General features: G+C 43.9%; 1 protein-coding gene and 1 long non-coding RNA gene across 5 annotated transcripts in view, besides 1 other annotated feature; one reads left to right on the forward strand and one right to left on the reverse strand.

The window, feature by feature from the left end:
* Positions 2,815–2,914: a silencer, noted in NCBI's record as "silent region_14231". NCBI's record gives its function as "represses an Ori minimal core promoter by ATAC-STARR-seq in GM12878 lymphoblastoid cells {active_cell/tissue: GM12878}" and the evidence as "EXISTENCE:reporter gene assay evidence [ECO:0000049][PMID:35858748]".
* ENTPD3 (ectonucleoside triphosphate diphosphohydrolase 3) overlaps positions 2,894–24,374 on the forward strand; it is a 41,561-nt gene continuing 20,080 nt past the window's right edge. For 3 of the 4 annotated variants that reach the window (NM_001248.4, NM_001291961.2, XM_011534266.4), the window contains exons 1-4: positions 2,894–2,971; positions 3,756–3,807; positions 7,733–7,860; positions 16,604–16,721. In NM_001248.4, coding sequence (NP_001239.2) covers positions 3,768–3,807; positions 7,733–7,860; positions 16,604–16,721 — 286 coding nt within the window. In that variant the 5' untranslated portion in view covers positions 2,894–2,971; positions 3,756–3,767. Of the gene's footprint in view, positions 3,102–3,755; positions 3,808–7,732; positions 7,861–16,603; positions 16,722–24,374 lie in introns of all 4 variants that reach the window. The other variant, NM_001291960.2, reaches the window with a different exon arrangement.
* ENTPD3-AS1 (ENTPD3, EIF1B and MYRIP antisense RNA 1) overlaps positions 6,661–24,374 on the reverse strand; it is a 62,358-nt gene continuing 44,644 nt past the window's right edge. Inside the window, exons 3-4 of the long non-coding RNA NR_040100.1 lie at positions 15,184–15,338; positions 6,661–8,279 (exon numbers count right to left, since the gene is read on the reverse strand). This is a non-coding gene — a long non-coding RNA (ENTPD3, EIF1B and MYRIP antisense RNA 1). The remainder of the gene's footprint in view (positions 8,280–15,183; positions 15,339–24,374) is intronic.

Below are 24,374 nucleotides of genomic sequence, written 5' to 3' on the forward strand. Positions count from 1 at the left end.
ATAGTCCAGGCTAGAGTGCAGTGGCATGATCTCAGCATCTCAGCTCACTGCAGCCTCCACCTCCCAGATTCAAGTAATTCTCGTGCCTCAGCCTCCTGAGTAGCTGGGACAGGCATGCACCACCACACCTGGCTAATTTTTGTATTTTTTGGTAGAGACGGGGTTTCACCATTTTGGCCAGGCTGGCCTTGAACTCATGACCTCAGGTGATCAGCTGACCTCGGCCTCCCAGAGTGCTAGGATTACATGCGTGAGCCCCTGTGCCTGGCCTAGATCTTTTTAAACTTTGCTAAGCTAATCAAGTCTAATCAGTTTTTTTTTAATCTTGTTTAAATATACCAAAGTTTTAGTTGACAATTTTTGGTAAATAATGAGATTAAGCATCTCTGCCATGTTAGTCAGCCATTCATATTTCTTTTGTAAATTGGCCAATGCATGTGACTTGCCCATTTTCTATTTCAGATATTCATATTTTTCTATAGACTTTAGTATATCTTACGGTTTTAAACTCTTTACTGTCACATTCTTAGGTATTTCCTGAGAATTTATCTTTTTTTTGGTGGGGGGGGGTTGCAGTGGGTGGTGTCTTTCTATTCAGTCATTTTTCATTTTCATGGATTCAAATTTGTTGACTTTATTTCTCTTCCTGCTTTGACTGCATAGTAGAAGAGACTGTTCTTTCCCAAGGATGATAAAAATGTTCTTCTACATTTTTTAGTATGTCAAATTATTTTATACATTTAAATTTTTAAACCACCTAAAATCTATTTTTGTGGGTGATGAGTAATTAGAATCCTTTTCCAAATGAGCCAGTTGTTTCAATACCAGTTATTGAATAATATGTTATTTCAACCTGTTCTTTATCTTATAATCCTATATCCAATAGTCTGTTGTGGCCTATCTTTTTTGTTCTTTAGATCTCTCAGTATATTCCTGTGCCCAAGCCAGGCTGTTTTTATTACTGTGGCTTTACAATATGTTTTGATAGCTGGTGGGCAAATCTGTATTATTTTATAATCAGGAAAACTCACAAAGGAGTGTGTGTGTGTGTCTGTGTGTGTGTGTGTTCTTGCATGTGGAAGGTGGATGAGGAAATGCCTTTGAATGACTAGGTCTACTTTGGAAGCTGCAAAGGAGTTTGACACAGTGCCTGGAGCAGAGTTTCCAGAAAAGCTTGGAAAAATAAAAGGAGAATTGGAGACTACAGGGCTCTCAAAGGAGGCTGATGCTCACACTTACAAGGTCTGTAGGTTGATGCAAGCAGAGAGGAAAGCTGGCATGGACTGATCTCTGTTATTTTTATACACTAGCACTAACTGCCTTTCAAGGCCCATTAGGCCTGGAAACCTTTTCCCAGCCCCTGGGAAGTCACTGGGGATGCTAAGGTTAGTCATTCACCCACTGGGGCTATCTAACTGAGCTCAGGTCCGGGTGCACTGCCAGCAGCTGTTTGTGTACTTACAGCCCCCTGGGTGCAGACGGACCCCCAGCTGCCAGCCATATGCCTTATGTTTCATTGTCCCACAGCTTTCAAAGAAAACAAGTCTTTTAATTCAGCAAGTATTCACTGAATGTCTGACACCCCCAGTGCAGACCCTGTCCCAATCCCCCAATGGGGTCCACCTCTATCCAACTCTGGGTGAATGACCATGGTGCTCTTGCGCGCGGGCACACACACACACACACACACACACACACACACACACACACAGGCACACACACATAACTCAGGCTTGGGGCCCACCTCTCTGGGCTCAGAGGTATCAAAGCAGGGGCATTCCTATCTTAAGGACTTCTTGTCTTAGGGGCTTTGGCCCCACCTGCACAGGACAGAAAATTAGTGGATTTCTAGGAGAAAGCAGGCTATGGCAGGGTATAGCCAGGGACTCAGCTCTTCCTTCCAGACATGCAGGAACCATAAGGAGGGATGGTCAAACAGGGCCTGCTTAGGCCTCTTGCTGGGATCACTCCAAGGGTCTCTGGGGTCACTCAGAGGAGCCGGGAGGCTGCCTGCTGCTGTACACTGAGACAGACTCCTGGGGTGTTTGGATCACGGCAGCCCACATGCTGCCTTTTTGTTATCTTTTCTGTTTTGCCTCTTCCGGGCTGTACTTGTCTTGAGTTTTTGGCCTTATGACATCCATATTAAATGGGGTAGGGCAGAGCATTGCTCAGTAAACAGCAAGAATGGCCCTGGGCATGGCCAAGGCAGTTCTGCTAAGTGTGAAAGGGAATGTGCCTGCCATACTTTGTGCTTTAGGCCCAAGTGACCTAGGGGCCAGCCTGCCTACTGGCCTCACTCCCAACATTACAGGTGTTTGACTCTACTCCACCCCGTGGAGAGACGGAGCACAGGAGCCACCCACCGGGGGACCACATAAGGTCATGCACACCCACAGAGTGCCCAGTCCCTGCCTGGCCTTGTCCCCATTTTCCCTCCACCTAGGGTTGGGGTGACAATGGAGGTAACTAGAAGACAGATCAAAAGGTTCTTGGTCTTGACACAGATGCAAGAAGGAGGCAGATAATAGACACCTCCCTTCCCCCTCGCCCACATAGGCTCCGGTGGGTTCTCAGGGCAAGGCCTGGCTCCCTCCTCTCCGACTTCAGGTACAGGTGAGTGTGGAGGGAACTGAAAGAGGAAAGGTGAAGTGCTGTTTGGCTTCGACCTGGAGGGGGACAGAAGGCTCTCTGGGCAGGCAGGGCCGGTCTTTTGGCAAGAGGCGCGCTCTCTCTCCCTTCCCCTTCCATCGAGGGCTGGGTGTGAAGGTGAGAGCAATCAGAAAAGAAGGTGAAGAGGTACTTGGCCTTGACACGGACGGGGGGGGCGGTCCCAGGCCGAGGCCGCCCCGCCCCCGCCCCGCTATACCCGGCGCCGCCTCCCGGCGTCTGAGCTGACACCTCCTTAGCGCTGGCCGCGGGCCGCCTCTGCGGCAGCGCTAGTCGCCTTCTCCGAATCGGCTCCGCACAGGTAAGATCAGGGGACCCGGCGCCTGAGCTGCCGAGGAAGGAGTCGGGGGTGCTGCGTGAGACTGAGAGTTGGGAGGCAAAGAAACAAAATCGGATTTCCTCAGAGGGCCAGAGGAAGAGACTGAAACACGGTAGCCCCAAATCCTTGGGCGGCTGGGAGGTGGTCCCTGTCATGCCCACGACGGGTGGGCGCGTCTTTACCGACAGCCTGCATGGATCCGCAGATGTGCTGGGCGCTTAGATGCCTGCGGCTATGCAGAGACGCAGTCCAGAGAGGTGACCCCAGATCCTGGTGGGGGCTGGATCCCAGGGCCCCGACATCCCTTTGCAATTTCCAGCCAGCAGCTAAAGACTCCCTTCCCGGGGCTTTAGAGAGGCTCCAGGCTCGCGATCCATGAACACACAAAAACCTTCCTTGCTCATGTTCTGAAAAAAAGCCCCGCCTCAGCTTTGTGAATGTTAATAATAGGGGGAAGATTTGTTCTCTCTTGGGTGTGTGTACAGGTGGAACAATCTGCAGAAAAAGACCTTTTTTCGGAAAACCTTTTCAGTTTGAAGTTTCAGCAAATCCATTTTTCATTTCCTTTCATTTGGGGAGATGACATGAAATTTAAGCTCCAGCTTTGGGGCTGTCTCTGAAGTTCTGGGGTTCGGCTTACCTTTCCCGGGATGAGGTTTTGATTTGGAGGAAGTAAAATGGGTTTTGTCTTAACCTGGGCTCGTTCTTTAAACTTGTGAGGCCGGGGCGGTGGACTTACTGACATCCTGTATTCTCTCACCTGCAGCTAGGAGAAAAGATGTTCACTGTGCTGACCCGCCAACCATGTGAGCAAGCAGGTTAGTATCTCTCAGCAGGTAGCAAGCGTGGTTTTGCCAAATCGCAAGAGAACCCCAGCTTCGGCCTACAGTTTTTCATCCATATCCCCTGCAAATGATTGTTTAACTTTATTGGTTTGAGACTCAGTACTCAGCTGGGTTTCAACACCGGCATTCCTCAAATAAAAGTAATGCTTTTCATCAAAGCCACACAAAACAAGGACTAACATGCATGTTTCACTTAAATGGTTTTTCCGGTTTGTATAATCCATTAATTTGGCCCTTGTGGTTTCCCTTAGCTAGCTGTGTGTAACGTTTGCTTTAGAATACTGTATTGTTGATTTTGTGATCAATTGTACAGTACTTGGATCTTTCCTGTATTCCCATCCAAATGTTGCTGGCACAGTGCCTACAACACCCCCACCCCTCACTGTGAGTCAGTGTTGTTATGGTTGATACTGCAGGCACAAGTGCAGGATTTTCTCACACTGGAAGGCACACACACACAGACACACACACACACACACACACACACACACACACACACACTTCTAAGCTTGCCCCGCCTGCCTCTAGAGCACTTTTTGGAGTTGCTCATGTGGAAGCCCAGAAGGCTCTGGCTTCTCCAAGCTCAGGTAGGTACCTTGCAATTACCATGTTTGTCCAGCCCTAATGACAGCACAGCTCTAGGCTGCATTTCCTAAATGAGTAAGACCTGGTCTCATCCATTTTGCTTTGTAATAAGCTTTTCTGCAAGGACAAGAGTTTGCTTAAGGTAATCATAGCTTTTTACTTGAAAACTGCTGAAACACAGAAGACTTAGGAGGCCAGCCACGTAGCTGTGGTCAGGAAACTGCATACATATCACACACTCCTCCCCCATGGATAGACATTCTTTAGTCATGCCCCTAAATTGGGTATTCTTGTCTTCCAAAAGGATATGATTTTAGGATAGTAAGGGCAATCTATATGAACTTTTATTTTTGTAAAGGGACATTGCACTTGAGGAGCTGTTTTCCTTTGATCTTTAGGTTTTCCCCCAAAACACTTTGAAATGTTAACACAGATTGTAACGTCACTCATACAGACTAACCTGTTACATTCCTTCCAAAGGACAAGTTTAACTTGGCAGATTAAATTTCTACCCCATTTTGTTAGAGGGAAAAAATCCCTTAAACTTCTATAACTAACACTGACAAATGCATTCTTTGAAAGCTAATGCAAAAGTTTGCCTCTGTGGATTAACTGGTTCCTGTACTTTTATTTGGAATCACAGAAAAGTGATACAGGACCTCTTTACATGCTCTGCAGGTCAACTCCATGGCAGTTGGCTCTCCTTTCCATTGCTATTACCCACAATTCTGTAATGAGTAACCTTGTGTCTAAGTCATTTTACACATGTGGAGCTAGTTCTGTGGGATAACTTCCCAAAAGAGTGATTGTGAGTCAGATGGCATGCTTATTTGCAGTTTTCATAAATATTGACAAGTTGCCCTCCATTGATGCTGTACCAGTTTACACTTTCAATGACAAGGTAGGAGGATTAAGGTGTTAAGTGACCAACTTTGACACCAAGAAGTGTCTGTGACTGCAGCTACACTGCAGGGGAATCAGTTGAGATGGAAAGAGTTAGCTGTTCTGAGCCATGAAGACCTACTGCGTGACTGCCCTCCTGTAGCAAATGTTGTGATGTGACTGAATTTGGGGGCTGAATCTAATTATATCGTGGGCGCATAGACATGCCCTGTTATTCTTCTGGGAAAATGGCTTACAGAAATAATGGAGGGGTAAAGCATAGGTTATAATGATCTAGGAATAATGTTCTGGAATAAGACAGGATCTATCCAATTGCTGTTCAATTGATCTTCCTATAATGATGAAAATGTTATATGGCTGCACTGTCCAATATAGTAGCCACTAGCCCACATGTGGTTATTGAACACTGGAAATGTGGCTAGTAAGATTGAGAGACTGCATTTTTTTATTTTAATTAATTTACATTTAGATAGCCAATTGATTAGATATATATTGGAATTCGATGAATCTAGTGATCTTTCTATTAGTGTTCATCATATTTCAACCATTTGGTTGTCATTTATGTTGATGTCCCAATAGTTTTACCAAGACTATTATTATTATTTTTTTAGAGACAAGGTCTCACTCTGTCACCAGGCTGGAGTATAGCGGCACAGCTCACTGCAGCCTTGAGCTCCTGGGATCAAAGGATCCTCCAACTTCAACCTCCTGAGTAGCTTGGGCTACAGGTGTGCACCACATGTACAGTTGATTTTTTTCATTTTTTGTAGAGACGGGGTCTCACTATGTGGCTCAGGCTGGCATCTAACGCCTGGCCTCAAGCATCTTCCCATCTCAGCCTCCCAAAGCTGGGATTACAGGCATAAGCCACTATACCCAGCCCAAGATTATTATTTAGTCAGTATTTTCATTGAATGTCTTTTTATCTTTTTAAAAAATTAGGTATAACTTCTATTCAGTGAAATGGATAGATCTTAAGTCGTGCCCCTAAGTTGGGTGTTCTTGCCTTCTAAAAGTATGTTTTTAGAATAGTAAGGGCAATTTATAAGTTTATAATGTTTTTTTAAAAGGAAATTATACCTAAGACACTGATTTGCTTTCATTTTCAAGTTTTCTCCAAAGGACTTTGAAAGGTTTGATGAGTTTTGACAAATGCACACATCCATATACTCCACACTCTGTATAGCGCATTGCCATTACCCCAAGAAAGTGCCCACATATTCCTTCTCAGTGAATCCCTGCCCCAACTTCTGCCCCCTGGCAATCACTATTCTGATTCCTGTTACCTTCCTACTTTTGAACTTCAAATAAATGAAATCATTTCAGTATAGTATAGTACTAATTTTTTTATTTTTATTTTATTTTATTGAGACAAGGTCTTATTCTGTCACCCAGGCTGGTGTGTAGTAGTTTGATCTCAACTCATTGCAACCTCCACCTCCTGGCTTCAAGCAATTCTCCCACCTCAGTCTCCCGAGTAGCTGGGACTACAGGCGCATATGATCACACCTGGCTAATTTTTGTATTTCTTGGTAGAGACATGGTTTCACCATATTGGCCAGGCTGGTCTTGAACTCCTGACCTCAAGTGATCCACCCACTTCGGCCTCCCAAAGTGCTGGGATTACAGGGGTCAGCCATCTGCCCAGCCTAATTTCTTTTTCTTTAACTGAGATTATTTTTAAATGAAATATTCTATGAGATTATTTTTAAGTGAAATATTCTATCACCTGGTTTAATTTTTTAAAAATAGATTTTTTGAATCTCCATTAAAACTAATGTTAGCTGGGCGTGGTGGCTCACACCTGTAATCCCAGCACTTTGGGAGACCGAGACAGGCAGATCACTTGAGCCCAGGAGTTCGAGACCAGCCTGGCCAACATGGTGAAACCCTGTCTCTATTAAAAATACAAAAATTGGCTGCCGTGGTAGCAGGCACCTGTAATCTCAGCTATTCAGGAGGCAGAGGCAGAAGAATCGCTTGAACCTGGGAGTTGGAAGCTGCAGTGAGCCAAGATCACGGCACAGCACTCTAACCTGGGCGATAGAGTGAGACTCCATCTCAAAAAAAAAAAAAAAGAAAAGAAAAAGAAAAAAGTAAAACAAATGTTATTGTAATTCATCTCAGGGATAACCAAAATATCAGAAAACTAGACCATGCATACCCTCCCTGCAACACTGTTTTAGTACACAATTTGTGAGGAAGGGCAAATAGGTATTGTTTGTGCTTCCCCAAAACTGGGGAGAAGGGGAGCTTATTTGCTACTCCATCTTAGAAGTGTGGGTCTCGCTAACACCAGAGAAGGTGGTTTATGCACCTGATTATGGGGCCAGTCCATCAATTCTACAAAGAATACCAGTGCCTGGTTTTTACCTCCCCCTCAAGTGTCTTCTGGGTCTTCTCATTTTAGGCCTCAAGGCCCTCTACCGAACTCCAACCATCATTGCCTTGGTGGTCTTGCTTGTGAGTATTGTGGTACTTGTGAGTATCACTGTCATCCAGATCCACAAGCAAGAGGTCCTCCCTCCAGGACTGAAGGTAAGTGTGAAGGGACTGGCAACAAAGGGAAGAAATGAGCATAAAGGGGAAGAAATCAATTATTCCAAAACCATGAGTTAGAAGAGCAGAAAATCCTTTCCCCCCATCTCTGGCTGAAGCCAGGAGAAGTTAGTGTAAGACGCAAGGGAGAAGGTCTGGACATGCTGGGTTTGTGATATTTGAGGCTACAAATTGAGGGTAGTGACTGACACCTTCTCCAAGGACTGTGTAGTCTTGCTTTGACTTCTGACTTCAAAGCTAAAATTTGTAACCAAGAGTTGCAGATAGCTATCAAAGATTTACCAGTTCAGCCAGGTGCGGTGGCTCACGCCTGTAAGGCACTTTGGGAGGCTGAGGCAGGTGGATTGCTTGAGTCCACGAGTTCGAGACTAGCTTGGGCAACATGGTGAAACCCATCTCTATCAAAAAAAAAAAAAAAAAATTTACCGGTTAGTGCACTTTCCATTTTGACCAGTTTATCTGTTCTCCCAACCACACAACCCTGATAATGAGTAAAGACCGAGGCTGAGCACAGTGGCTCATGTCTGTAATTCCAGCACTTCGAGAGGCCGAGGAAGAAGGATTGCTTGAGCCCAGGAGTTCAAGACCAACCTGGGCAATATAGAGAGACTCCATCTCTACCAAAAAGAAATTTTTCCAAAAAAAGGAAAAAAGAAGTCAAGACCAGGAGACCCAGGCACCTCTTCTAGCCTAGGCTGAGTGAACAAAAAATCAAGAACTTGAGAAGGTCTCCTTGAGCTCTATTTGTGCTGCTACTCTTGAGTCTAGAACATGTGCTGTGTTCCTTCCAACACTTCCCTCAACAACACCCCCCCGGCAAAAAAAAAAAAAAAATTACTCAGGACCTTGTGCTTAGTCCCAGAGGCCCCTCTTAGTTCTCAACAAGTCCATCCCCAAATGATCTTTAGGCTCAGAATCATAATATATCCCCAGGCTTGGCTCTGAGGGTGCCCTTGGAGACAGGAGGTGATTCCATGAGAGGCTGACAAGGGAAAGATGAAGCAAGTTGATGAGTCCTTCAATCATTTTGGGTAGGGGTCAGCAAACATTTCTCATAAAGGGTCAAATAGTATATATTTTAGGCTTTGAGGTCCATTTATAGTCTCTGTTTTATAACTCTTCTTTGTTTTTTGACTCATTAAGAATGTACAAACCCTTCTTAGCTGTGCCATAGGGACCAGGTAATTCAGCCATGTTCTTTGAATCTCATTTAACATTTACACTTGACCTCACAAGTCTTTTCCATATCTTCCTGCTGTTAGTGACTATTCAAAGGTAATATTTGAAATACATAGACATTTTTAAAAGAAAAGAAACTAATATTGTTTTGGACTCTAAGGATGGGTTTGAGCTAACATTCTAAGGCAGCTTTTCTAAAAGATTAGAGTAAAATCTCCATTAGATAATATAATAGCATTTGGTTCCTTGATAGGATATTTTATTTAAGAATCTCAGCCCTCATGAATAATGTGAATTAAAAATTAAAAAAAAACCTTATGCAATCACCCAATAATGAGAAGAAAGCAAATTACCCAGTTGTCCAAAGATATTAGCTGAGGCCTAAAAGAAGGTGTTTTCCCAAGCTCCAGGCACTGCCTTCTACAAACTACTGTATATAAAATTGGGACTTTGGGAGGCCGAGGCGGGCGGATCACGAGGTCAGGAGATTGAGACCGTCCTGGCTAACGTGGTGAAACCCCATCTCTACTAAAAATACAAAAAATTAGCTGGGCGTGGTGGTGGGCGCCTGTAGTCCCAGCTAGCTACTCAGGAGGCTGAGGCAGGAGAATGGCGTGAACCCGGGAGGTGGAGGTTGCAGTGAGCTGAGATAGTGCCAACTGCATTCCAGCCTGGGCAACAGAGCGAGACTCTGTCTCAAAAAAAAAAAAAAAAAAAAAAAAAAGGAACTGCAACTAAGAGTAATATATTTTTTATTTTTTATTTTATTGTTATTATTTTGTGAGACGGAGTCGTGCTCCGTCACCTAGGCTGGAATGCAGTGGCATGATCTTGGCTCGCCCCAACCTCTGCCTCCACAGTTCAAGTGATTCTACTGCCTCAGCCTCCCAAGTAGCTAGGATCACAGGTGCCCACCACCATGCCCAGCTAATTTTTTCTTGCTGTATTTTTAGTACAGATAGGGTTTCACCGTGTTGACCAGGCTAGTCTTGAACTCCTGACCTCAGGTGATCCACCCACCTCAGCCTCCCAGAGTGGTGGGATTATAAGCATGAGCCACCGTGCCCAGCCGCAACTAAGAGTAATATCTCTTTACACTTTGTATAGTGCTATTCAGTTAAGTCAGCGCTTTTCCCTCATTACATCACTTAGTTCTTATGCCAACCATAGAAGGTGGACAAAGCGAGCACCATGACTGCCATTTTGAAAGTGAGAAAATACAGGTTTGGTCAGTGAATGACAGGTCCAGAACTGAAACCTGGTCCCTTCTGTTCCCAAGGCCAGGGCTCTCTTCACTGCCTCCCACTTCTCCCTGACCCTGAGTTCTGAATGGAGATCCCAAATGGAGGGAAGGGATTGGCCTCAGATAAGAGAACACTTCCTGCTTTGCACAGGATGGAAAGGTAGGGAGGATGCATGCAGATGTGGGAAGGTTTGTTGAATTGAAGGAGAGGAGTTAAGCCTAGTACCACCCTTAGACCCTGATAGCTGGGCTGCCTGCCCTGGGCCCCACATTTCAGAAGGACCAGCTCTAGTTGCACTTCAGGCTTATCTCTCTCTATGACCCAAACGAATGTGTTTACCCAGAGCCCATGTTTCCCCTTCTAGAACACACTGTGGTGCCCAAGACTTCAGAATCTAGGGTCTTCGTGGACCTCCAGAAGGTGGACATCACCAATGGTCTGAGGGGTGGCCAAGAGGCAGCTGCTTACAGGGAGTGTAAACAGAGCATAGCTGTGTGGTCTGAACTGTCCACACACAGGTGCATGGGCTCTTTATTCTGTGAGAACAGGTTTGGGAAAGGGACAGGGCAGAAGCCTCTATTCATAAAATTTTGTCTCTAATCCTACAAATGTTAGAAATGGGCTGGTTAAGGCAGTTGCCAGCTGATGGCTTCTACTTGTTCTGGACAGTAACAGGCAAGTCCTCTGTTCAAAATGGAGAGACATGGAGGAATCAGATGGAAGACTAGTAAAATGAGTAGATAAAAATAGATCCCTGGGCAGTCTAGAGGGCACTGTTGAAGGAGAAAACCACACATGTTGAATGCTACTGTCTTAGGTTGGGCTCTCCAAGTCAAAGACATACGTGCAAGTAGATCATCTGGGGATGATCCCAGGAAACACTGGTGAGGGACTAGGGAACTGAGATGGGTCAGGCAGCCAAGAGAGGGCCTGCTATGCAGCAGGTCGGCACTGTGGGCAACTGGGACTCAGTCCTGCTTGAGACCCTGTGAGCTGGTACAGAGAACTCAAAGTTGTCCCATATCAAGGGGCATACAGGCATGTGCCTCCCAGATATCCCAGTCAAGGGCATATTTATTCACCAGCTTCCATCAGTCATTAGCTGAGAGGCTGCTCCCTGGATGTTAACTCTCTAGTCCTTCTGGCATATTTTGTGATCAGGTAGACTCGGGCCACTAGTTAAGCCTTCAGGCAGGTGGAAGATGGATAGTTCTACATCACAGTAGTAAGGCCTGAGGGGATGTGGGCAGAGAATTGTCAGTGACTACTCCATGTAAATAATATTGTTATTATCCCTGTATTGCAGATGAGAAAACAGGAAAAGAAAGGGCAAATAGCTTCCCATAGTTACACAGATTGAAAATAGCAGAACTGGTGTAAAGGAAAGAAAAGAGAACAGACAACAGTGGCCTTAAACAAGGGTTTGGAGGAACCAGGAGACACACCCTCCACCAATCAGCAGGCAGTTCAAAGAGGGGATTTTAAATCTCTTCTGAATCTTGGTAACAGACCCTAGCCACCATTGCAAGGGACAGGAAATTGTAAAACACAGGAAGATGAGCTCGGAAGGTCCATTCTGCTTAATTGGGTGGATTAAATGTGAGAAAAGACAGATGTTCTGGGCCAGTTGAACCAGAAACGGAATGACAGCTTTGGAAGAGAGTGTTCCACATGCAGTTTTTCTCAGGATATGGAGAGATCTCTCTTTTTTTGTTTTGAAGAGGATTGCAGGTGATGAAGTTGAGCAAATATGAGGGATTTTAAATTATTTGTTATGTTTATTTTTTTATACCATGAGCCCTGTTTTGCTTTCGTGTGCAGCTGACAGTTGGTTCTAAAGGGCCAGCTCTACAACAGCCTGTCTGGAGGGCTCTGAAATGTTACAGAGGACTCTCATGCAAGGTCGTATCTGGCTATTAAATCTAACCTTGGCTTGCCTAACCCTGGTTTATGTGAGGTTATGGTCAGAACTATTAAAATGCAGTCAAGGGGCGAAAATGTCTGAGTCTCTTGTGTTACTGGTCTGACTTGCTCCACAAGCTTGAAGAGTAAACATGATGCCATCACTTGTAATTTTCACTCGGCCCCCAGTCCCCCGCTTTATCATCATGAAGTCCAATACCTTCCTCTTGAGGCTTCACCCTCCCTACCCCTAATCATAACCATCCAAGAACTTTAGAGCTTCTCAGTCCAATGATCAATACTATTGTACTGCCTCTTGCAGCCATGTGATGTCACTGTTGAAGATGGGTTCTGCACAGTCTAAAGGTTTTAAGGATGGGCTTTTCCACTGTGACCTGCTCAGCCCACATTAGTTCCCCATACTGGGTCCAAGATCATAAGCCATTTTAGTCTACACTCCCATGCTCAGCCATTACTCTCCAAAGCAAAACCACTGGCCCAGTCTGTGTTGAAATCATTCCCTTTTAACCCTCATTGAGCCTTGCTCATCAGCCTGGATTTCTGGTGCCTTGTAGCCCACCCTGGTCTACTTCTTGGAGAGTAAGAGTTGGATAATTAGTTTCTTTTTTTTTTTTTTTTTTTTCAGAAAGCCTCGGTCTCCTTATGCAAATGGGTCCTCTCCTCCAGCCAGATCTGCACACCCCTTAACTAAGACTTTACTTTCAAGGGACTTTTTGTTTAAATAAGAAAGTCTGCAATGCACCTGATTACTGAACAGTCATGCCATTACACTTGGTTTCCTTGGAGCTCAGTGAAAACATCATGGCTATGATTACTGAACAGTCATGCCATTACACTTGGTTTCCTTGGAGCTCAGTGAAAACATCATGGCTATGAGTACAGGTTTTAGAGTCCGTTAGACTCAGGCTTGATCCCAGGTCTGTGATCTTGGGCATTTACTTACTACTGTAAGCCTCGGTTTGCCCATGTGTCGAATGGTATGATATGATATGATATGATATGATAACATATGTCTTATACAGGCAATAACACAAAGCACTTTCTGCAGTGCCTAGAATAAGTGCAGGACAAGGCTTATTACTACTACTATTTATTATCATAGTAATAATGATAATAATAATAAACAAATCTAAGAAAGTTGACCTTATGCTTCTGCTTTCGCTATTGCTTTAGACAGATCACACAATCCTTAAGTGTTGGACCAAGGAGACTGGCCCTTTCAGTTAACATTAATTGCATTCACTGTTAGATACAGAGTAATTTAACCAGTTTCCTTATTCTATACATTTCTAAACTGAAAGACTGCTTCCTTTCAGTTAATCCACTGTGTCTTCAGATCCACATTTGAGCCATGGTTTTTTCTGACACTGCATTAGACAGAGGATTACTTACTACTTTTTATCCGAACATCACCTTGCCAGCTGAACTGAAATTCATTCCCATCCCCTCTCCCCCAAAAGAATCACACTGAGTTTCACTGTTTAGGCAAAAGAGCTCTGAAAACTGGTTAAAGACCATTTTTCCCACTTTTGAAAATGTCAGTGAATGATGGTAGGGCTAGATCCGTGTGAGTCGGTAGAGGTGGGCCTATATCAGCAGGTGCCGGAGGGACAGCCATTTCTCCAGTCTCACAGAGCAAAGTCTGGCTGCTGCAGACCCTGGTGAAAGCTGGATCCCAGTTGGAGTTACAAATGAGAATGGATACTCTTCTCTCTGATCTTGGCCCAGCAGCCCTGAGCTTCAGAAACACAGGAAAAACATGCACCCTTTTTGAAGGGTTGGAATAAAGATTTGAGGAAAGGAAGGTGACAGTTTTTCTCCTATTCTCTCTCTCCTCTTGTTTTATGGTTCAGCACCAGGCGTGGCAGGGCGGGCTGGAGTGGTGGTGATCAGGTCAGGAGCAGGGGGGAGGAAAGAAAGCAGACCAAGAATATAGAGGCCTGGACCTCTTTAGTTTAGTGCCTGGTTTCCTTCTTGCCTTCAGTTTCAACCTGTACTTTAATCTCCCTGTGAGTCGCTGCCTGTGACAGATTATGAACAATGCCACCCTTGTTCCCCATGAGGGATGTCAGGTCAGGATCCTGATCAACATTCATCATACTGAAGGGCTGAGATTAAGAGGCTGTCCAAGTTCACATACCAGTGAACACAGATGTTCTATTTCAAAATAATGGAGAGGCTATGATTCAGGAGCTGGAGCAACTTTTTAAAAATATGGTCCCATTTCAAACAAAACAAGCATTTGTAATATAGATAATAAAAAGTTGGAAACCTCCTAAATGTATAGGATCAGGAAATTGGTTAAATTACTCTGTACCTAAAAGTGAATACAATGAATGTATGAAAATGGTGATATCAATCTGTTTCTACTGTCAGGAAGACATGTTCATGATATACTTTTAAGAAAAGAGCATTGCATGGCCAGATGCGGTAGCTCATCCCTGTAATACCAGCAGCATTTTGGGAGGCGGAGGTGGGTGAATCACTTGAGCCCAGGAGTTCGAGACCAGGCTGGGAAACATGGCGAAACCCTGTCTTTACAAAAAATATAAAAATTAGCCAGGTGTGATGGTGCACACCTGTAATCCCAGCTACTCGAAAAGCTGGGGCTGAGAATCGATTGAGCCTGAGAAGTTGAGGCTGCAGTGAGTCGTTGGTGGCACCACTGCATATATACAATGATATATGTATATATCCAGATACATATATACATATATTGTTAGAAAAGATACAACAAGGGCTAACGCAATAGTTGGATTTGAGGGATGCTTTGTTTTCTTTTCTGTTTTTCTTGTTTTGTGATTTTATTTGTTTCTTTTGCTTGACTGGCTTTTCTATATATGCTAATAGCCTGTATTTATGAGTAGCCATTAAGCATTAGGCATATAGCCTTCTATTTACTTCTGCAAGTAAGTCCTCTAAAGATGAGGGAACCCAGAAAGGTTAGGCAACTTACCCAGTCCAGCATCATAAAATCGAGAATCCATCTGAGTCAGCTTGCCTCCAGACCCAACTTCATCATCTTCTGTGGGACAGGCTAGGTTAACCCAAAGGTGGTGCGGTGGGAGACTTCAGGCCACCCTGAAGGCCTCTGGATGCCCTAGGATGACTCTGAGCACAAACAGATACGGGGCTTAGGTATGCATTGCTAATTCCAAATTCTATAGGCTACTAATACATGCTCTTTCCTGGTCAGGTTTGGTCCAGAGCCTGGGCTGGGCCAAACCTGCAGGTGAAACTTTCTAGTGCCTGCTCAAGTTGGACAAATTGGTCCAGGACTCTCAGCCTACTCTCCTGCACACAGCCAGCCCCAGCACTGCCCAGCAACACCTGCCTGTTCATTTGTTGACATACACATTGCCAAAGTGTGATCAATATGTCAATATTATTTTTTTATTTTGCTTTTTTTCTCCTTAATTATGAATACTTTAATTCTGAGCACTGATACAGGTATTAACATGCCTCAGCCGGGCACGGTGGCTCACGCCTGTAATCCCAGCACTTTGGGAGGCCGAGGCGGGTGGATCACTTGAGGTCGGGAGTTTGAGACCAGCCTGCCCAACATGGTGAAACCTTATCTCTACTAAAAACACAAAAATTAGCCAGGGATGGTGGTGGGCACCTGTAATCCCAGCTACTTGGGAGGCTGAGGCAGGAGAATCACTTGAACCCGGGAGGCAGAGTTTGCAGTGAGCTGAGATCGTGCCACTGCAATCCAGCCTGGGTGATAAGAGTGAACTGCATCTCAAAAAAAAAAAAAAAAAGAAAAAAGGAAATGCCTCTACCCTGTGAAAAACTTCTTATAACTTCTTCCTATGCTTTTATTTTGGTTGTTTATTTTTAGACTGATAAGCCTAGAAGTTTGGAAATAGAGGGCATCCAGGTGACTATTCATTTTCCGTCTGAGACGAAGATGGCTTTTGTACCTCTCCCCAGAGGTCTGAATGAGGAAGAATCAGGCAACTCAATTGTATGCAAGATCCATCATGAAGTACAATTCTCAACCTTGGCTGAGTGTTGGACTCACCTGGGACTTTTAAAACCTGTTGATGCCTGAGTCCACTCTCAGAGATTCTGATTTAATTGGTATGGGGTGTAGACTTGGCATTGGGGGATTTTTTAAGCTCTCCAGGTGATTCTAATGCATTGCAAAGTGATAATTATTTCCTAGAACCTGCCCTACCTTTCCTCATTCCCTTCCCTCACAATCCAAGGAGACAAAATTGGTTTGGAGAAAATAATTTTTCTTATTGATTAGCCCTTCCCTAAGCGAAGCAGTGTGGATTAAGGTACTCAGGGTTCTCAGTGGCCCACTGAGAAAGCAGTCCTCAGAGGAGTCCCGCCCATTCTGACTCTCCCTTTCCCTTTTTATTCAGTATGGTATTGTGCTGGATGCCGGGTCTTCAAGAACCACAGTCTACGTGTATCAATGGCCAGCAGAAAAAGAGAATAATACCGGAGTGGTCAGTCAAACCTTCAAATGTAGTGTGAAAGGTAAGGACTGAAGTGTGTCTGGGAGTCACAATGGGCAGCAAGGTAGAGTTCTAAGTGTTTTGGAGGCCTGGAGAGGTCCTGAGATGTTGCTTGGAGGCAGGGAATGAGCATTGGACTGGGAGTCAGGAAATAGGAGATCGTGTGCTAGTGCTGCTACTCATCAGTGGAATAAACTTGCTCTAGTCACTTCCCTTCTCTGGGCCTCAGTGTTTTATCTGTATACATGGAAAGGGGTGGCGTCAAGAACTGTGAATGGTCTGAGATTTTACCCTGCCATATTTTCATGGGTGCTGGAAGACACAAGACTCCTGGGTCAGAAATAAAGGACAATTTGTTACTCACAGGAGTAGCCCAGAGTATCAGCATTTTCTTATACTGGTTCTGATTCCCAATTTGCCCAGGATGATGGAAAGACGGACAGATAGTATGCACTCATGCAATAGGTTCTGTCATAGGAAAGGAAATCTGGGATTTTAGGGAAGCATTTATAATGGGCAGTGAGCATGCCTGCCTTTTGCTGTGGAGGGAAACACAAGGGACACATGGATAGCTGTCTTCCAGCAGTGATAAGGAGTAGTCCTGTGTATTGATGGCGAGGCAGACAGAGAATGACAATATGTAAACAAATGGACATGGCTCTGTTCCAGTAAAGCTTTATTTATGGACACTGAAATTTTGAATTTCATATAATTCTCATATCATGAAATGTAATTCTTCCTGTAAATTTTTTCCCACCATTAAAAAATGTAAAAACTCTCTTAGCTCACAGGCTGTACAAAAAAAAGGTGGTATACTGGATTTGGCCCATGGGGTGCCAACCCCTGAAATGGAGTATTATCAGCAATGATAATTAATGATCCGCCATGCAGCTCCCTGTCTTTTCCACAACATATTCTGAGTTTTATATTAACTGTTTCCTTGTTCTTTATAGTTTTGTCTTATGTATGTAGTGTTTCTGTTTTTTAAAACAAAATTAAACATGTATTTATATAAATGGAATCAACATATTTTATGCCGTATTTGCTTTGTTCACTAACAACATTGGGTTTTTAAGATTCATCTGCACTGATATGAGTAACTATCTTGTTCATTTCCTTTCCTTTTTTTTTTTCTTTTTTTTTTTTTGAGACAGAGTCTCACTCTGTTGCCCAGGCTGGAGTGCAGTGGCATAATCTTGGCTCACTGCAATCTCTGCCTCCTGGGTTCAAGCGATTCTCCTGCCTCCACCTCCCAAGTAGCCGGGATTACAGGTGCCTGCCACCACGCCTGGCTAATTTTTGTATTTTTAGTATAGATGGGGTTTCACCATGTTGGCCAGGCTGGCTTCGAACTCCTGACCTCAAGTGATCCACCTGCCTCGGCCTCCCAAAGTGCTGGGATTACAGGTGTGAGCCACCGTGCTCGGCCTCATTTTTCCTTGTTGATGGGCATTTGTATTTTCTTGGTTATTAATAAAACTTAATATCTTTCCATATATTTATAGGCATTTCTGTTTTCTGTGAAATGCATGTTCATGTCTTTTGTTCATTTTTCTATTGAATTGTTGAATTTTTCTTACTAATTCATTGAAATTCTTTATAAATATTCTAAATATGAATTCTTTGCCATTATTATTATCATATTATTGCTAATACCGTCTCACAGTTTGTAGTTTGTCTTTTTAGTTTCTTTGCGATGTGTCTTGATGAAAAGAAGTTCTTGATTCTTATGTAAATACAACCATCAATATTCCTTTTTGTGGCTTGCTCTTTTGTATGTTTTATTTAAGAAATCCTTTTCTATCTTGAGGTCATACAGACCTTTTTCTATGAAAAGTGTTATAATTTTGCCTTTTACAATTAAGTAATTAGTCCAAGTAATTGAGCCTAGTTAGGGAGTGTGTATATGTGTAAGCCTTTTTCAAAGCCACTTATCTTCCTCGTTCGAGCATTAGGATCTTCAGTTGGCCTGTAGCCTCCCAACCAGGGTGTTCTGAATGTGCCCAGTGTATCCTTGAGCCCACAGGACAACAGGTTAGAGACTCCAGACCTGTCCTCCCAGCCCGAGCAGCCTCCTTTGTTTCCCTCCGTGAGCTGCCAAAACATTGTAAGTTCATGGGGATCATGGCATTGAAAAACTTGGAAAGCAGAGTTAGTCTTTCTCACCGGGAGACCAAGAGTCTTCTTTGGCTAATCAGAGTGAATTCTGATCATCTGCCCTCCGAGGAGGGCAGCCAGGAGCTTGCCTACCCTGATGCACAGGTGTTCCAGGTTAGGCTCTCCAGAAGCAGATGTAGAGACAGATTATGGAGTGCAAGGTGGTTATTAGAGATGCACTATTATAGCAGAAAGTGGGCAGAGAGAAGTACTGGACAAAAAAAGAGAAGTCAAACTTCAACTCAGGCCTGATGAAGCTTCAGCTGATCCGTTATGCTGCACTGGGTTGAAATGGTGTAAAGTGGCTTGGCTGTAATACCCCCTGTTGCTGCCACTCTTGGATGTTTGCCACCCTGGAAAGAGCAAGATCTTGAGCAAGGCAGCTCTCTGCAGCTCAGGCAGACCCTGAAGAAGCTGACAGCTGGGACAATAAGTCTATTTGAAGGGGTATATTGCACGGCACGGTTTTGGATTCACCACATAAGGGACTTGGATATTTTCCTTTAATTTTTTTTTTTTTTTTTGAGATAGGGTCTCATTCTGTCTCCCAGGCTGGAGTGCAGTGGCACAATCATGGCTCGCTGCAGCCTAGACTTCCTGGGTTCAAGCAGTCTTCCTATCTCAGCCTCCTGAGTAGCTGGGACTACAGACATTGCCACCACATCTGGCTAATTTTATTTTTTGTAGAGATGGGGTCTCACTATGTTGCCCAGGCTGGTCTTGAACTTCTGGGCTCAAGCCATCCTCCTGCCTCAGCCTCCCAAAGTGCTGAGATTACAGGTGTGAGCCACTGCACCCAGCGGATATTTTCTGAGTATTGCTTGCTTGTTATCCACAAGATGCAGGCAGCTGTAGCCTTGCTCTGACCTCAACCAGCGATCCTCTATCTGCTCAGGTAATGCCTGAGCCATTTCCTCACCTTCAACCATGAAATAGGGCAGCAGGCTGCTCCTTTCAAAGACAGAGACTATGTGCTCCAAGGAAAGAGAAGATAGTGTAGGATCGAGATTGAGACTTCACCTCATCCCTACTGTGTGAACCCTGGAAAGTTATCTAACCTGAGTCTTGACTTCCTCATCTCTAAAGTAAAAAACATAATAATAGTTATACCTACCCTACAGGAGTGATTTGAAGACTAAATGACATAATGTTGTAAAAGAAATGCCTGGCATACAGTAAGTGCTCAATAAGCATTAACTGTTATTCATGGGGCACCACAATCAGAGCTCCTGGTGGATCCTCTTGCCACTTGTTACTCTGTCCCACAGTTACAAGATCTCTGTCTTTAGACCCAGGAGGGCAATTCAACCAAGTTAGTCCTGATGGCCTTACAACTGTGGGGAAAAATAAGACTTACATGGGGAGGTGTTATGGCAGTCCCTCAGGGGAAGGGTTCCTTGGCCCACCCTGGATGGCATATGTGATTTGAGGAGGCACAGAGTCATGGAGGCCACAGCATATCCATAAATGGATCTTCCCTTCTTTGATCACAGTAGCCTCAGGGATCTATATATACTCTGAATGAACAGAAGACCACAAACTAAAGCTCAAATTACAGAGTTGAAGGTCAGCAAGTGTCATCCCCTCAAAGGCTTGTGGCTTCTCCAAGGATAATTTGGGTTTCTGCTTCCTCCATTGCAAACTTCCCAGGACTCCCCTGTCTTGGCCAAACAGAAGGGGGTGATGAATGCTTGCTCACCCAGCAGGGATTCCCAGATGCCTAGGCCCTCAGAAATTTCTTTCTGGTTGGTATCAACCCCCAGTTGCTACTGTTTTCCATGAGTTCATTGCCTTTGCTGGCGGTTTCTGTGCTGGTGTCTGTACCTCTGGCTGCTTGTGGTGAAGCCACCTCCTGGAGGTGCTGGGTTCTCTGCATGCGTCTCATCTCATCTGCAGTACTCATGCCTGCTGCTGCCTTTCCCCACAAGGGACATTCATAATGTCTTTCCTTTAAACCAGTGACTAAAAATTACTTAAGCTCCACTAGAGCCTAAACTTAACTATCTCCTCCATTAAAATCCCTCAAAGAGTTGCATCAGAAACCAGGCCACCATAGTATTAAAAAAACATCCTTTGCCTCTGGGTGCAGTGGCTCATGCCTGTAATCCCAGCACTTTGGGAGGTGAGGCGGGTGGATCACCTGAGGCAAAGAGTTTGAGACCAGCCTGGCCAACATGATGAAACTCCATCTCTACTAAGAATACAAAAATTAGCCGGGCTTGGTGGTGGGCGCCTATAATCCCAGCTTCTCGGGAGGCTGAGGCAGGAGAATTGCTTGAACCCAGAAGGCAGAAGTTGCAGTGAGTGGAAATCATGCCACTGCACTCCAGCCTGGGTGACAGAGCGAGACTTCATTTCAAAAAAAAAAAATCATTTGCCAATAGTTGGCCGGAGCTCAAGCTGAGGTGCGTGTCTTTGGCTTCTGTTTCCCCTCAAGTAAGTTTTGTGCCGTCTGTTTAACCCTCTCTCCCCATATTGAAATAGCAATTTCAGTGCTCCTCTCATGGGACCAAGTATCCAAGTCCAAGCAGCTTAGAAGCCTGTGAATCCTATCTCCTTTTCCCTCTAGAAGGCTTAATGGACCTTATGCAAACAGGCTGTCTGGTGACATACTCCCAAGGTTTCACCATTCTATCTCGCCTCTCACCAGCCGCTAACCAGAGACCAGCTCCTTGCAGATTATATTTTGTTTATCCCAGATTGGACTAGCCAATCTCCTTACTACAGAGATGTATAGTGGTTTGAAAGTCTCATTGATTGATTGATTTAATAAATATGTATTAGGTGCCTGCTGTTTGATACGAACTGTTCTTGGCACCAGGAATTCAGAAATAAACAATATATACAAAATCTGTGGTTATGTGTTATGAGACTTGCATTCCAATGAGGAAGATAGACAAAAAAATAAACGGGCATATAACGAGTGTCAGGCAGACATGATGTGAAGAGAAATCAGGCAGGGCAGGAAAAAGAGAGTGATCATGCTGTTTTGAACAGGATTGTCAGGGAAGTATGAAGAATATGACAGCTAGGCAGAGACAAAAGTGATATGAGACAATGGGCCATGTAAATGTGTGGGGGAAGAACATGCTGAGCAGAGGCATGGCAAGGGAAAAGGCCAAGCATGGAAGCTGCTCAGCATTTTCCAGGAAAAGCCAAGGGGCCAGTGTGGCTGGAAGAAAGATGAGAAATGAGACTGAAGCTAGAGCCAAGGCCTGCTCCTTGGAGGGACTTGAGGTGTCCTAAGGGTTTGACTGTGACACAAATGAAGTTTCTTCAAAGTATATTGGGAAGCCATTAGAAGATTCTAACTAGGGAACTAATACGATATGACTTCTGTTTTTAACGGATCACTCAGTTGATATAGAACACGTAGTCAGGGGCTAAGATTGGAAGCAAGGACACCAGTTAAGTGCTGTTAAATCAGTACGGGTGAGAGATTAGGTGATGGTCAATTTGCCCTTGACTAGTGCTTCTCAACACAAGGTGAATTTGTCTCCCGGGAAACATTTTGCAATGTCTGGAGATCTTTTCGATTGTCATGACTGGGTCCGTGGTGCTACTAGCATCTAGTGTATAGAAGACATTTCTCATCTTTCTTCCAGCCACACTGGCCCCTTGGCTTTTCCTAGAAAATGCTGAGCAGCTTCCACACTTGGCCTTTTCCCTTGCCATTCTACAATGTTCTAAGCATTGTACAATGCACAGAACAGCCTCCACAACAAAGAATTATCTACCCCAAAATGTCAGTAGCACCAAGGTTAAGAAACCTTGGTTTACGATGGTTCTGGGGAAGGGGGTGAGAAGTGCTTAGATTTGCGAGGTATTTTGAAGGTAGGACCAACATGATTTTATGATGGACTTGATGTGAGGCATCTGAGTTCATAATGCATGAGCAAGAGTTTGGATATGAGCAACTGTGTGCATCACAACACCATTTACTGAGATTGGGGAACACTGGGAGTGGAGCATATTGGGGGCAGGGCAAAGCTTAAAGAGTTTGGTTTTGGGCATATTAAGTTGGAGATGGCTATAAATCATCTGAGTCAGGGGAGGCAAACTTTTTCTGTAAAGAGCTACACGATAAATATTTTAGACTTGTGGGTCATATGGTCTCTGTCGTAACTGCTCAACTCTGCCCCTTTAGCATGAAAACAGCCATAGACAACAGGTAGATGAATTAGCATGTTTGCATTTCAAAAAAAAAAAACTTTACTTGTGGACACTGACATTTTAATTTCTTATAATTTTCATATGTCATGAAATGCTGTTCTTCATTTTATTTTTTTCCAACTACTTGAAAATATAAAAATTATTCTTCACTTGCAATCCATACAAAAACAGGTATGGGGTCAAATAGCTTGCTCATTCCTGATCTATACAGTGATGTGGAGTTGTCAGATAGGCAAGTCGGGAGTTCGGGGGAGGGGGAGGATGAAGAAATAAAGCTGAGTGTCATCAGAATACAGACGATATCCAGCCCCAGCTCATCTAAGGAGTGAATAGATACTGAAGAAAAGAGATCTGAGGACTTAGCCTTACACACTCCAGTACTGAGAGGTTGGGGAGAGGAAGAGGATCCAGCAAAAGAACTTAGGAGGAATGACAGCCAGTGAGGGGAGAAGAAGGTCAGAACCCAAATCCAAGGTAGTTGAAGAAAGAGGAAGTGCGCAATTAGGTGAAAAGTGATGGGGAGCTTATAATCTAAGAAGTCAGACAGACATGATATGCCCCCAGTGCGGTGATGTACACTAGGAAAAACCTAGCACACCTAGGAAGTGCTCTTGCCAAAAAATCAAATCTGAATCTGATCACATTTCTAGAAATTAACTCCCAGTTTATAAAAAACACAGAAGACAAAGGAACATGTTCAAGGACACCTCACGGATCCAATCAGCGAAATCCAAAATAAGAGACCTACTCCATTAAAATGATTTCTTTAATAAATAAATGGCAAGATAAAAGGGGGGCAGGAAAACTGTTACAGAATGAGAATCTTAAAAAACATCCAAATGCACATACAAGGTATGGACTTTGGTTTCTGCATCACACTATAAAGAAAAAGTTATTCTGGGAAATTTGAACACTGACAGGTCTTTAATAATATTAAGAACTTTTTTAGGAGTGATTTTTTTCTTAGGTATCATGGTTATATTTTTCAGAGTTCTTCCCTCTTAAAAACATATACTAAAGTGTTTGTAGATGAATTAACATAATGCCTGGGATTTTCTTTACAATAATTCCTAGAGATGGAAAAAAGAAAGCATATAAATGAAAATAAGATGGGCTGTGTATTGATTAACTGTTGAAGCTGAATGATCAGTATATGGGGATTCATTTCACTAGTTTCACAGTAAAGAATTAAGACTAATGTGAGCACTGACCTGTGATGTTCAGCATAGTTTTGTTGTTTTTGTTGGCTTTATTGGCATTTTGGAGAGAAAAACCTGTTAACTAACCTATCTCATAGGAATATGCCTGAGAGCTTAATCTCACATTTTATTTACTGAGAGAATTG

The sequence above is a fragment of the Homo sapiens genome, chromosome 3 (assembly GCF_000001405.40).
Source record: "Homo sapiens chromosome 3, GRCh38.p14 Primary Assembly".
NCBI lineage: Eukaryota > Metazoa > Chordata > Mammalia > Primates > Hominidae > Homo > Homo sapiens.